This window comes from Homo sapiens, chromosome 1 (assembly GCF_000001405.40).
Source record: "Homo sapiens chromosome 1, GRCh38.p14 Primary Assembly".
Classification (NCBI taxonomy): Eukaryota; Metazoa; Chordata; class Mammalia; order Primates; family Hominidae; genus Homo; species Homo sapiens.
In genome coordinates this window covers 65545379-65557912 of record NC_000001.11, presented here as the reverse complement: position 1 = coordinate 65557912, position 12534 = coordinate 65545379, and the positions used below count along the sequence as shown (strand labels likewise).

At 42.1% G+C, this 12534-nt stretch overlaps 1 protein-coding gene across 6 annotated transcripts in view, besides 1 other annotated feature; it reads right to left on the bottom strand.

Moving 5' to 3' along the window:
• LEPR (leptin receptor) overlaps nt 1-12534 on the bottom strand; it is a 220908-nt gene that overhangs the window by 83647 nt on the left and 124727 nt on the right. The gene's annotated exons all lie outside the window — the stretch shown is intronic.
• Nucleotides 3092-3738: an enhancer, noted in NCBI's record as "H3K27ac-H3K4me1 hESC enhancer chr1:66019858-66020504 (GRCh37/hg19 assembly coordinates)". NCBI's record gives its function as "activates a minimal SCP1, AML or CMV promoter by ChIP-STARR-seq in naive H9 embryonic stem cells {active_cell/tissue: H9 hESC(naive)}" and the evidence as "EXISTENCE:reporter gene assay evidence [ECO:0000049][PMID:30033119]".

The following is a 12534-nucleotide window of genomic DNA, read 5'->3' as shown; positions in this document are numbered from 1 at the left end:
GGATTCGTGGAATCAGGTTTCATTCTTAAATAACAGAGAAACAATCACAAGTGTAAAAAGGACATAGACACAACCTTGAAGAGACAGTGAAAGGTGGTATCTGACATAGATTCAATGAGAGAAACATGCACCCTAAACTGTACAAAAAGGAATATAAAGAAGTTTTTTAAAACACAAATAATACAGAAAAAGAGGCTGGGTGCAGTGGCTCAAACCTGCAATCCCAGCACTTTGGGAGGCCAAGGCGGGTGGATCACTTGAGGTCGGGAGTTCAAGACCAGCCTGGCCAACATAGTGAAACACTGTCTCTACTAAAAATACAAAAAGTAGCTGGGTGTGGTGGCGTGTTCCTGTAATCCCAGCTACTTGGGAGGCTGAAGCAAGAGAATCACTTGAACCCGGGAGGTGAAGGTTGCAGTGAGCTGAGATCACACCACTGCACTCCAGCCTGGATGACAAAGTGAGACTCTGTCTAAATAAAAGACAGAAAAAGTGACAGAAATTTTTTAAATTGGTGAAAAAAGAATGAAGCAAAGGGAAAATTAAAGATAGGATGACCAAAATAAGCCTAATACACCAAACACCATTAATATGAAGACACTTCCTAAGGATGAACCATTAATTTGTTCTAACTTTTCTTATGGTTGTATTGTTCAATTATAAATTCTGAGTAGTTAAAATGAAATGAACAGTTTAGGAGAAGAGTACAAATAATCCTAACACTAAGAAAATTATTGATTAATTTTATAAAATAACAGCTAACATCCTCATGAACATCCTAATAATACCAGAGTTTCAAAGCAATTTCAAAATTTAATAATTTGTCACCCTCTCCACTACCAATACCCTGTTCTATGCCACAATTATTTCTTCCCGGAACTATCAGAAGAGGCTCTCTACTTCTGTCCTTGCTCCCCAGTTCAGTCAGTTATCAACATAGCAGTTAAAGTGATCTTCTTAACACAGATCAGATCATGTCTCTCTAACACAGTAGTCACAGTGATCTTATTAACACATTGACCAGATCATGTCTCTCTTTCTCAAAGCACTACAGCCCTCTCCTGTCACTTGTAGTAAAAGTCCAAGTCCTGAACAGGACTACAAGGTCCCAGATCCCACTCGTCATCCACTGCTCTCCCCACCACTCAACTCACCTTCTAAAGGAGCCTGCCCTGGCCATCCCATCTGAAATTTTAGCACCTCCCCCATGCCAACATGCACAAAAGCAACCTTCAAAGAGGCATTCTCCTATCATCCAGATACAGCTGTTTGAGAATCTGGCATAATAGCAAGAAGGATTTCAAAATGGTGATTCTTAACCATTTTTTGGAACATGGACCTGACTGAGAATTTGGTGAAAGAAGTGTATCAACGCCATGAGGAAGCACATACAACTAAAATTAGGGCTATAATTTCAAGGGGTTAACAATCCCTTGAAATTTCTCCAGGATTAAGAATTCCTGATATAGATAAATAAATGTAATGCACATTCCACAAGTAGAGCTGCATGAACTGAGCCAGTCACAGACATCACACTATGAAGAGGTGAGATAATACTGCCTAACATTCCCCTGGAATGCAGTTTTCTTCATTCATTTGGGCTGCTATAACAAAATACCACGAACTCAGTGGCTTATAAAGAAAGGAAATGTATTGCTCACAATTCTGGAGGCTGGAAAGTCCAAGATCAACATGCCAGCAGATTCAATCTCTGGTGAAGGACTACTTCTCATAGATGGTGCCTTCTTGCCATGTCTTCACATGGCAGAAGGGGTGAACAAGCTCCGCTGCAGCCTCTTTTATAAGGGCACTAATCCCATTCATGAGGGCTCCACCCTCATGACCTAATAACCTCCTAAAGGCCCCACCTCTTAATGCTATTGCATTGGTAATTAGGTTTCAACATATGAATTCTGTGGTGGCACAAACATTCAGACCACAGTAGTAGTCATTCTCTGTTGACAGTTAAAAGGAGTAATGTGCCTTAGCAGTCATTCAAAAAGACGGAGGGTTGACATCCTCACATGACATGGAAACATGCCAAACAGACTACCCTCTATCCCAATCACCACTGACAATACTTAGAACTGGGCTAGGGTAAGGAAAGGGCTTAATCAATTCTCATTAGAAAATCATTGTGGCTCTACTCTCACAACAAAAATGAATGTTGCAAAAGTTCTCTATCATGGCAGAAACAAGTATAGCTTGAAAACATTTTTCAAAGAAAAATAAGCAAATTCCCATTATTGCCATAATAAATTATCATAAGGTAATTATAATTACAGATTTGAGCAGTGTAGACCCCTGTGCCCACTTCCAAAGTAAACTAATTGAAAAATGTACACTAATATGACTGGTCTTACAGACCAGATACAAGTATAAGATGTCTATTAAAAATAACAGTTTAATAATATGTGCTCCATAACCCTACTTTTCAGAAATATTAACAGGGAGTCTACTGTGGCCATTCTTAGAATTCAATTATTCACCACAGCTCTTTCAAGTCACCGCACCACATGACTCTTTCCTCTGAATCAGATTCTGCAGGAGAACCATTCATCCAGGTGATATGTGGGTCTCAAACTGATTGCTGAAGTTGACAAATTATTTCTATACAAATAGCACATTTTTTATATGCTGTGCATTCTGTTAGTCAGCTTCTTATGTGAGAACATGCTATTGCTGTTCTCATGCTAAATAAATTTAGCAAGAAGAACACAAAAAAAGAACAGGCGGGGGTGGCTGGCAAGATGGCTGAATAGGAACAGCTCTGGTCTGTAGCTCCCAGGGAGATCAACGCAGGAGGCAGGTGATTTCTGCATTTCCAACTGAGGTACCCGGCTCATCTCATTCCTACTGGTTAGACAGTGGGTGCCGCCCACGGAGGGTGAGCTGAAGCAGGATGGGGCGTTGGCTCATCCAGGAAGTGCAAGGGATCAAGAAACTCCCTCCCCTAGCCAAGGGAAGCCATGAAGGACTGTGCCGTGAGGGACAGTGCACTCTGGCCCAGATATTATGCTTTTCCCATGGCCTTCCCAACCCACAGACCAGGAGATTCCCTCGGGTGCCTACACCACCAGGGCCCTGGGTTTCAAGCACAAAAGTGGTCAGCCATTTGGGCAGACACCAAACTAGTTGCAGGAGTTTTTTTTTTCATACCCCAGCAGTGCCTGGAATGCCAGCAAGACAGACAGAACCGTTCACTTCCCCGGAAAGGCTGAAGCCAGGGAGTCAAATGGTCTAGCTCAGCGGATACCACCCCCATGGAGCCCAGCAAGCTAAGATCCACTGGCTTGAAATTCTCCCTGCCAGCACAGCAGAAATCGACCTGGGACACTCAAGCTTGGTGGGGGAAGGAATGTCCGTCATTACTGAGGCTTGAATAGGCAGTTTTCCCCTCACAGTGTAAACAAGGTCTCTGGGAAGTTTGAACTGGGTGGAGCCCACTGCTGCACACAAAGCCTCTGTAGCCAGACTGCCTCTCTAGATTCCTCCTCTCTGGGCAGGGCATCTCTGAAAGAAAGGCAGCAGCCCCAGTCAGGGGCTTATAGATAAAACTCCCATCTCCCTGGGACACAGCATTCTCCCTGGGGGAAGAATGTGGCTGTGGACACAGCTTCAGCAGACTTAAACATTCCTGCCTGATGGCTCTGAAGAGAGCAGTGGATCCCCCAGCACAGCGCTTCAGCTTTACTAAAGGACAGGCTGCCTCCTCAAATGGGTTCCTAACCACCCTGCCTCTTGACTGAGAGACACCTCCCAGCAGGGGTCAACAGACACCTCATACAGGAGAGCTCCAGCTGGCATCTGGTGGGTACCCCTCTGGGACGAAGCTGCCAGAGAAAGGAACAGGCAGGAATCTTTGCTGGTCTGCAGCCTCCGCTGGTGATACCCAGGCAAACAGGGTCTGGAGTGAACCTCAAGCAAACTCCATCAGACCTGCAGCAGAAGGGCCTGACTGGTAGAAGGAAAACTAACACACAGAAAGGAATAGCATCAACATCAGCAAAAAGGATTCCACAGAAAAACGCCATTCAAAGGTCACCAACATCAAAGACCAAAGTTAGATAAATCCATGAAGATGAGGAAAAACGAGCACAAAGAGGCTTAAAATTCCAAAAACCAGAATGCCGCTTCTCATTTAAAGGATCACAACTCCTCACCAGGAAGGGAACAGAATGAGTTTGATGAATTGACAGAAGTAGGCTTCAGAAGGTGGGTAATAACAAACTCCTTTGAGCTAAAGAAGCATGTTCTAACCCAATGCAAGGAAGCTAAGAATGTTGAAAAAAGGTTAGAGGAATTGCGAACTAGAAAAACCAGTATATAGAAGAACATAAATGACCTGATGGAGCTGAAAAACACAGCATGAGAACTTTGTAAAGCATACACAGGTATCAATAGCCAAATTGAACAAGCGGAAGAAAGGATGTCAGAGATTGAAGATCAACTTAATGAAATAAAGCATGAAGACAAGATTAAAAAAAAAGAATGCAAAGAAATGAACTAAGCCTCCAAGAAATATGGGACTATGTGAAAAGACCAAACCTATGTTTGATTGGTGTACCTGAAAGTGATGGGGAGAACAGAACCAAGTTGGAAAACACTCTGCAGGATATTATCCAGGAGAACTTCCCCAACCTAGTAAGACAGGCCAACATTCAAATTCAAGAAATACGAGAACACCACAAAGATACTCCTCGAGAAGAGCAACCTGAAGACATATAATCGTCAAATTCACCAAGGTTGAAATGAAGGAAAAAACGTCAAGGGCAGCCAGAGAGAAAGGTCAAGTTACCCACAAAGGGAAGCCCATCAGACTAACAGTGGATATGTCTGCAGAAACTCTACAAGCCAGAAGAGAGTGGGGGCCAATATTCAACATTCTTAAAGAAAAGAACTTTCAACCCAGGATTTCATATCCAGCCAAATTAAGCTTCATAAGTGAAGGAGAAATAAAATCCTTTACAGACAAGCAAATGCTGAGAGATTCTGTCACCACCAGGCCTGCCTTAAAAGAGCTCCTGAAGGAAGCACTAAACATGGAAAGGAAAAACCAGTACCAGCCACTGTAAAAACATACCAAATAGTAAAGACCATCAACACTATGAAGAAACTGCATCAACTAATGGGCAAAACAACCAGCTAGCATCATAATGACAGGATCAAATTCACACATAACAATATTAACTTTAAATGTAAATGGGCTAAATGCCCCAATTAAAAGACACAGACTGCCAAATTGGAAAAACAGTCACGACCCATCAGTGTGCTGTATTCAGGAGACCAGTCTCACATGCCTTTGCATGTGAGACACATAGGCTCAAAATAAAGGGATGGAGGAATATTTATCAAGCAAATGGAAAGCAAAAAAGAAAAAGCAGGGGTTGCAATCCTAGTCTCCGATAAAACAGACTTTAAACCAACAAAGACCAAAAAAGACAAAAAAGAGCATGACATAATGGTAAAGGGATCAATGCAACAAGAAGAGCTAACTATCCTAAATATATGCACCCAATACAGGAGCACCCAGACTCATAAAGCAAGTTCTTAATGACCTACAAAGAGACTTAAACTGCCACATGATAATAGTGGGAAACTTTAGCACCCCACTGTCAATGTTAGACAGATCAACAAGAAAGAAAATTAACAAGCATATTCAGGACTTGAACTCAGCTCTGGACCAAGAAGACCTAATAGGCATCTACAGAACTCTCCACCCCAAATCAACAGAATATACATTCTTCTCAGCACCACATCGCGCTTATTCTAAAATTGACCACATAATTGGAAGTAAAACACTCCTCAGCAAATGCAAAAGAACAGAAATCATAACAAACTGTCTCTCAGACCACAGTGTAATCAAATTATAACTGAGGATTAAGAAACTCACTCAGAACTGCACAACTGCATGGAAACTGAACAACCTGCTCCTGAATGACTACTGGGTAAATAATGAAATTAATGCAGAAATAAAGATGTTCTTTGAAACCAGTGAGAACAAAGACACAACGTACCAGAATCTCTGGGACATATATAAAGCGGTGTTTAGAGGGAAATTTATAGCACTAAATGCCCACAAGAGAAAGCAGGAAAGATCTAAAATTGACACCCTATCATCACAATTAAAAGAACTAGAGAAGCAAGAGCAGACAAATTCAAAAGCTAGCAGAAGACAAGAAATAACTAAGATCAGGGCAGAACTGAAGGAGATAGAGACACGAAAAACCCTTCAAAAACTCAGTGAATCCAGGAGCTGGATTTTTGAAAAGATCAACAAAATAGACCACTAGCCAGACTAATAAAGAAGAAAAGAGAGAAGAATCAAATAGACACAATAAAAAATGATAAAGGGTATATCACCACTGATCCCACAGAAATACAAACTACCACCAGAAAATACTATAAACACCTCTATGCAAATAAACTAGAAAATCTAGAAGAAATGGATAAATTCCTAGACCCATACACCTCCCAAGACTAGGAAGAAGTCAAATCCCTGAATAGACCAAAAACAGGGTCTGAAATTGAGCCAGTAATTAATAGCCTACCAACCAAAAAAGGCCCAGGACCAGACAGATTCACAGCCGAATTCTACCAGAGGTACAAAGAGGAGCTGGTACCATTCCTTCTGAAATTATTCTAAACAACAGGAAAAGAGGGATTCCTCCATAACTCGTTTATGAGGCCCGCATCATCCTGATACTAAAACCTGGCATAGACAAAACAAAAAAAGAAAATTTCAGGCCAATATCCCTGATGAACATTGGTGCAAAGATCCTCAATAAAATACTGGCAAAAAGAATCCAGCAGCACATCAAAAAGCTCATCCACCACGATGAAGTCGGCTTCATCTCTAGGATGCAAGGCTGCTTCAACATACACAAATCAATAAACATAATCTATCACATAAACAGAACCAATGACAAAAACCACATGATGGGGGGAGGAGCCAAGGTGGCCGAATAGGAACAGCTCTGGTCTACAGCTCCCAGTGTGAGCCACGCAGAAGACGGGTGATTTCTGCATTTCCATCTGAGGTACCGGGTTCATCTCACTAGGGAGTGCCAGACAGTGGGTGCAGGACAGTGGGTGCAGCGCGCTGTGCGCGAGCCAAAGCAGGGCAAGGCATTGCCTCACTCAGGAAGCGCAAGGGGTCAGGGAGTTCCCTTTCCCGGTCAAGGAAAGAGGTGACAGACGGCACCTGGAAAATCGGGTCACTCCCACCTGAATACTGAGCTTTTCCGACAGGCTTAGGAAAGGGCGCACCAGGAGAATTATAGCCCGCACTTGGTTCGGAGGGTCCTACGCCCACGGAGTCTCGCTGATTGCTAGCACAGCAGTCTGAGATCAAACTTCAAGGCGGCAGCGAGGCTGGGGCAGGGGCACCCGCCATGGCCCAGGCTCCCTTAGGTAAACAAAACAGCCAGGAAGCTCGAACTGGGTGGAGCCCACCACAGCTCAAGGAGGCCTGCCTGCCTCTGTAGGCTCCACCTCTGGGGGCAGGGCACAGACAAACAAAAAGACAGCAGTAACCTCTGCAGACTTAAATGTTCCTGTCTGACAGCGTTGAAGAGAGCAGTGGTTCTCCCAGCACGCAGCTGGAGACCTGAGAACGGGCAGACTGCCTCCTCAAGTGGGTCCCTGACCCCTGACCCCCGAGCAGCCTAACTGGGAGGCACCCCCCAGTAGGGGCAGACCGACACCTCCCACGGCCGGGTACTCCTCTGAGACAAAACTTCCAGAGGAAGGATCAGACAGCAGCATTCGCGGTTCACGAAAATCCGCGGTTCTGCAGACACTGCTGCTGATACCCAGGCAAACAGGGTCTGGAGTGGACCTCTAGCAAACTCCAACAGACCTGCAGCTGAGGGTCCTGTCTGTTAAAAGGAAAACTAACAAACAGAAAGGACATCCACACCAAAAACCAATCTGTACATCACCATCAGCAAAGACCAAAAGTAGATAAAACCACAAAGATGGGGAAAAAACAGAGCAGAAAAACTGGAAACTCTAAAAAGCAGAGCGCCTCTCCTCCTCCAAAGGAACGCAGTTCCTCACCAGCAACAGAACAAAGCTGGATGGAGAATGACTTTGACGAGGTGAGAGAAGAAAGCTTCAGACGATCAAACTACTCCGAGCTACAGGAGGAAATTCAAACCAAAGGCAAAGAAGTTGAAAACTTTGAAAAAAATTTAGACAAATGTATAACTAGAATAACCAATACAGAGAAGTGCTTAAAGGAGCTGATAGAGCTGAAAGCCAAGGCTCGAGAACTACGTGAAGAATGCAGAAGCCTCAGGAGCCAATGCGATCAACTGGAAGAAAGGGTATCAGTGATGGAAGATGAAATGAATGAAATGAAGCGAGAAGGGAAGTTTAGAGAAAAAAGAATAAAAAGAAACGAACAAAGCCTCCAAGAAATATGGGACTATGTGAAAAGACCAAATCTGCGTCTGATTGGTGTACCTGAAAGTGACCAACTTGGAGAATGGAACCAAGTTGGAAAACACTCTGCAGGATATTATCCAGGAGAACTTCCCCAATCTAGCAAGGCAGGCCAACATTCAGATTCAGGAAATACAGAGAACGCCACAAAGATACTCCTCGAGAAGAGCAACTCCAAGACACATAATTGTCAGATTCACCAAAGTTGAAATGAAGGAAAAAATGTTAAGGGCAGCCAGAGAGAAAGGTCGGGTTACCCACAAAGGGAAGCCCATCAGACTAACAGCGGATCTCACGGCAGAAACTCTACAAGCCAGAAGAGAGTGGGGACCAATATTCAACATTCTTAAAGAAAAGAATTTTCAACCCAGAATTTCATATCCAGCCAAACTAAGCTTCATAAGTGAAGGAGAAATAAAATACTTTACAGACAAGCAAATGCTGAGAGATTTTGTCACCACCAGGCCTGCCCTGAAAGAGCTCCTGAAGGAAGCACTAAACATGGAAAGGAACAACTGGTACCAGCCACTGCAAAATCATGCCAAATTGTAAAGACCTTCGAGGCTAGGAAGAAACTGCATCAACTAATGAACAAAATAACCAGCTAACATCATAATGACAGGACCAAATTCACACATAACGATATTAACTTTAAATGTAAATGGACTAAATGCTCCAATTAAAAGACACAGACTGGAAAATTGGATAAAGAGTCAAGACCCATCAGTGTGCTGTATTCAGGAAACCCATCTCACATGCAGAGACACACATAGGCTCAAAATAAAAGGACGGAGGAGGATCTACCAAGCAAATGGAAAACAAAAAAAGACCGGGGTTGCAATCCTAGTCTCTGATAAAACAGACTTTAAACCAACAAAGATCAAAAGAGACAAAGAAGGCCATTACATAATGGTAAAGGGATCAATTCAACAAGAAGAGCTAACTATCTTAAATATATATGCACCCAATACAGGAGCACCCAGATTCATAAAGCAAGTCCTGAGTGACCTACAAAGAGACTTAGACTCCCACACAATAATAATGGGAGACTTTAACACCCCACTGTCAACATTAGACAGATCAACGACAGAGAAAGTTAACAAGGATACCCAGGAATTGAACTCACCTCTGCACCAAGCAGACCTAATAGACATCTACAGAACTCTCCACCCCAAATCAACAGAATATACATTTTTTTCAGCACCACACCACACCTATTCCAAAATTGACCACATGGTTGGAAGTAAAGCTCTCCTCAGCAAATGTAAAAGAACAGAAATTATAACAAACTGTCTCTCAGACCACAGTGCAGTCAAACTAGAACTGAGGATTCAGAAACTCTCTCAAAGACACTCAACTACATGGTAACTGAACAACCTGCTCCTGAATGACTACTGGGTACATAACGAAATGAAGGCAGAAATAAAGATGTTCTTTGAAACCAACGAGAACAAAGACACAACATACCAGAATCTCTGGGACACATTCAAAGCAGTGTGTAGAGAGAAATTTATAGCACTAAATGCCCACAGGAGAAAGCAGGAAAGATCCAAAATTGACACCCTAACATCACAATTAAAAGAACTAGAAAAGCAAGAGCAAACACATTCAAAAGCCAGCAGAAGGCAAGAAATATGTAAAATCAGAGCAGAACTGAAGGAAATAGAGACACAAAAAACCCTTCAAAAAATTAATGAATCCAGGAGCTGGTTTTTTGAAAGGATCAACAAAATTGATAGACCGCTAGCAAGACTAATAAAGAAAAAAAGAGAGAAGAATCAAATAGATGCAATAAAAAATGATAAAGGGGATATCACCACCGATCTCACAGAAATACAAACTACCATCAGAGAATACTACAAACACCTCTATGCAAATAAACTAGAAAATCTAGAAGAAATGGATAAATTCCTCGACACATACACTCTCCCAAGACTAAATCAGGAAGAAGTTGAATCTCTGAATAGACCAATAACAGGATCTGAAATTGTGGCAATAATCAATAGCTTACCAACCAAAAAGAGTCCAGGACCAGATGGATTCACAGCCGAATTCTACCAGAGGTACAAGGAGGAACTGGTACCATTCCTTCTGAAACAACTCCAATCAATAGAAAAAGAGGGAATCCTCCCTAACTCATTTTATGAGGCCAGCATCATCCTGATACCAAAGCCAGGCAGAGACACAACCAAAAAAGAGAATTTTAGACCAATATCCTTGAAGAACATTGCTGCAAAAATCCTCAATAAAATACTGGCAAACCGAATCCAGCAGCACATCAAAAAGCTTATCCGCCATGATCAAGTGGGCTTCATCCCTGGGATGCAAGGCTGGTTCAATATACACAAATCAATAAATGTAATCCAGCATATAAACAGAACCAAAGACAAAAACCACATGATTATCTCAATAGATGCAGAAAAGGCCTTTGACAAAATTCAACAACCCTTCATGCTAAAAACTCTCAATAAATTAGGTATTCATGGGACATATCTCAAAATAATGAGCTATCTATGACAAATCCACAGCCAATATCATACTGAATGGGCAAAAACTGGAAGCATTCCCTTTGAAAACTGGCACAAGACAGGGATGCCCTCTCTCACCACTCCTATTCAACATAGTGTTGGAAGTTCTGGCCAGGACAATTAGGCAGGAGAAGGAAATAAAGGGTATTCAACTAGGAAAACAGGAAGTCAAATTGTCCCTGTTTGCAGATGACATGATTGTATATCTAGAAAACCCCATTGTCTCAGCCCAAAATCTCCTTAAGCTGATAAGCAACTTCGGCAAAGTCTCAGGATACAAAATCAATGTACAAAAATCGCAAGCATTCTTATACACCAATAACAGACAAACAGAGAGCCAAATCATGAGTGAACTCCCATTCAAAATTGCTTCAAAGAGAATAAAATACTTAGGAATCCAGCTTACAAGGGATGTGAAGGACCTCTTCAAGGAGAACTACAAACCACTGCTCAAGGAAATAAAAGAGGATACAAACAAATGGAAGAACATTCCATGCTCATGGGTAGGAAGAATCAATATCGTGAAAATGGCCATACTGCCCAAGGTAATTTATAGATTCAATGCCATCCGCATCAAGCTGCCAATGACTTTCTTCACAGAATTGGAAAAAACTACTTTAAAGTTCACATGGAACCAAAAAAGAGCCCGCATCGCCAAGTCAATCCTAAGCCAAAAGAACAAAGCTGGAGGCATCACTCTACCTGACTTCAAACTATACTACAAGGCTACAGTAACCAAAACAGCACGGTACTGGTACCAAAACAGAGATATAGATCAATGGAATAGAACAGAGCCCTCAGAAATAACACTGCATATCTACAACTATCTGATCTTTGACAAACCTGAGAAAAACAAGCAATGGGGAAAGGATTCCCTATTTAATAAATGGTGCTGGGAAAACTGGCTAGCCATATGTAGAAAGCTGAAACTGGATCCCTTCCTTACACCTTATACAAAAATTAATTCAAGATGGATTAAAGACTTAAACGTTAGACCTAAAACCATAAAAACCCTAGAAGAAAACCTAGGCATTACCACTCAGGACATAGGCATGGGCAAGGACTTCATGTCTAAAACACCAAAAGCAATGGCAACAAAAGCCAAAATTGACAAATGAGATCTCATTAAACTAAAGAGCTTCTGCACAGCCAAAGAAACTACCATCAGAGTGAACAGGCAACCTACAAAATGGGAGAAAATTTTCACAAACTACTCATCTGACAAAGGGCTAATATCCAGAATCTACAATGAACTCAAACTAATTTACAAGAAGAAGACAGACAACCCCATCAAAAAGTGGGCAAAGGATATGAACAGACACTTCTCAAAAGAAGACATTTATGTAGCCAAAAGACACATGAAAAAATGCTCACCATCACTGGCCATCAGAGAAATGCAAATCAAAACCACAATGAGATACCATCTCACACCAGTTAGAATGGCAATCATTAAAAAGTCAGGAAACAACAGGTGCTGGAGAGGATGTGGAGAAATAGGAACACTTTTACACTGTTGGTGGGACTCTAAACTAGTTCAACCATTGTGGAAGTCAGTGTG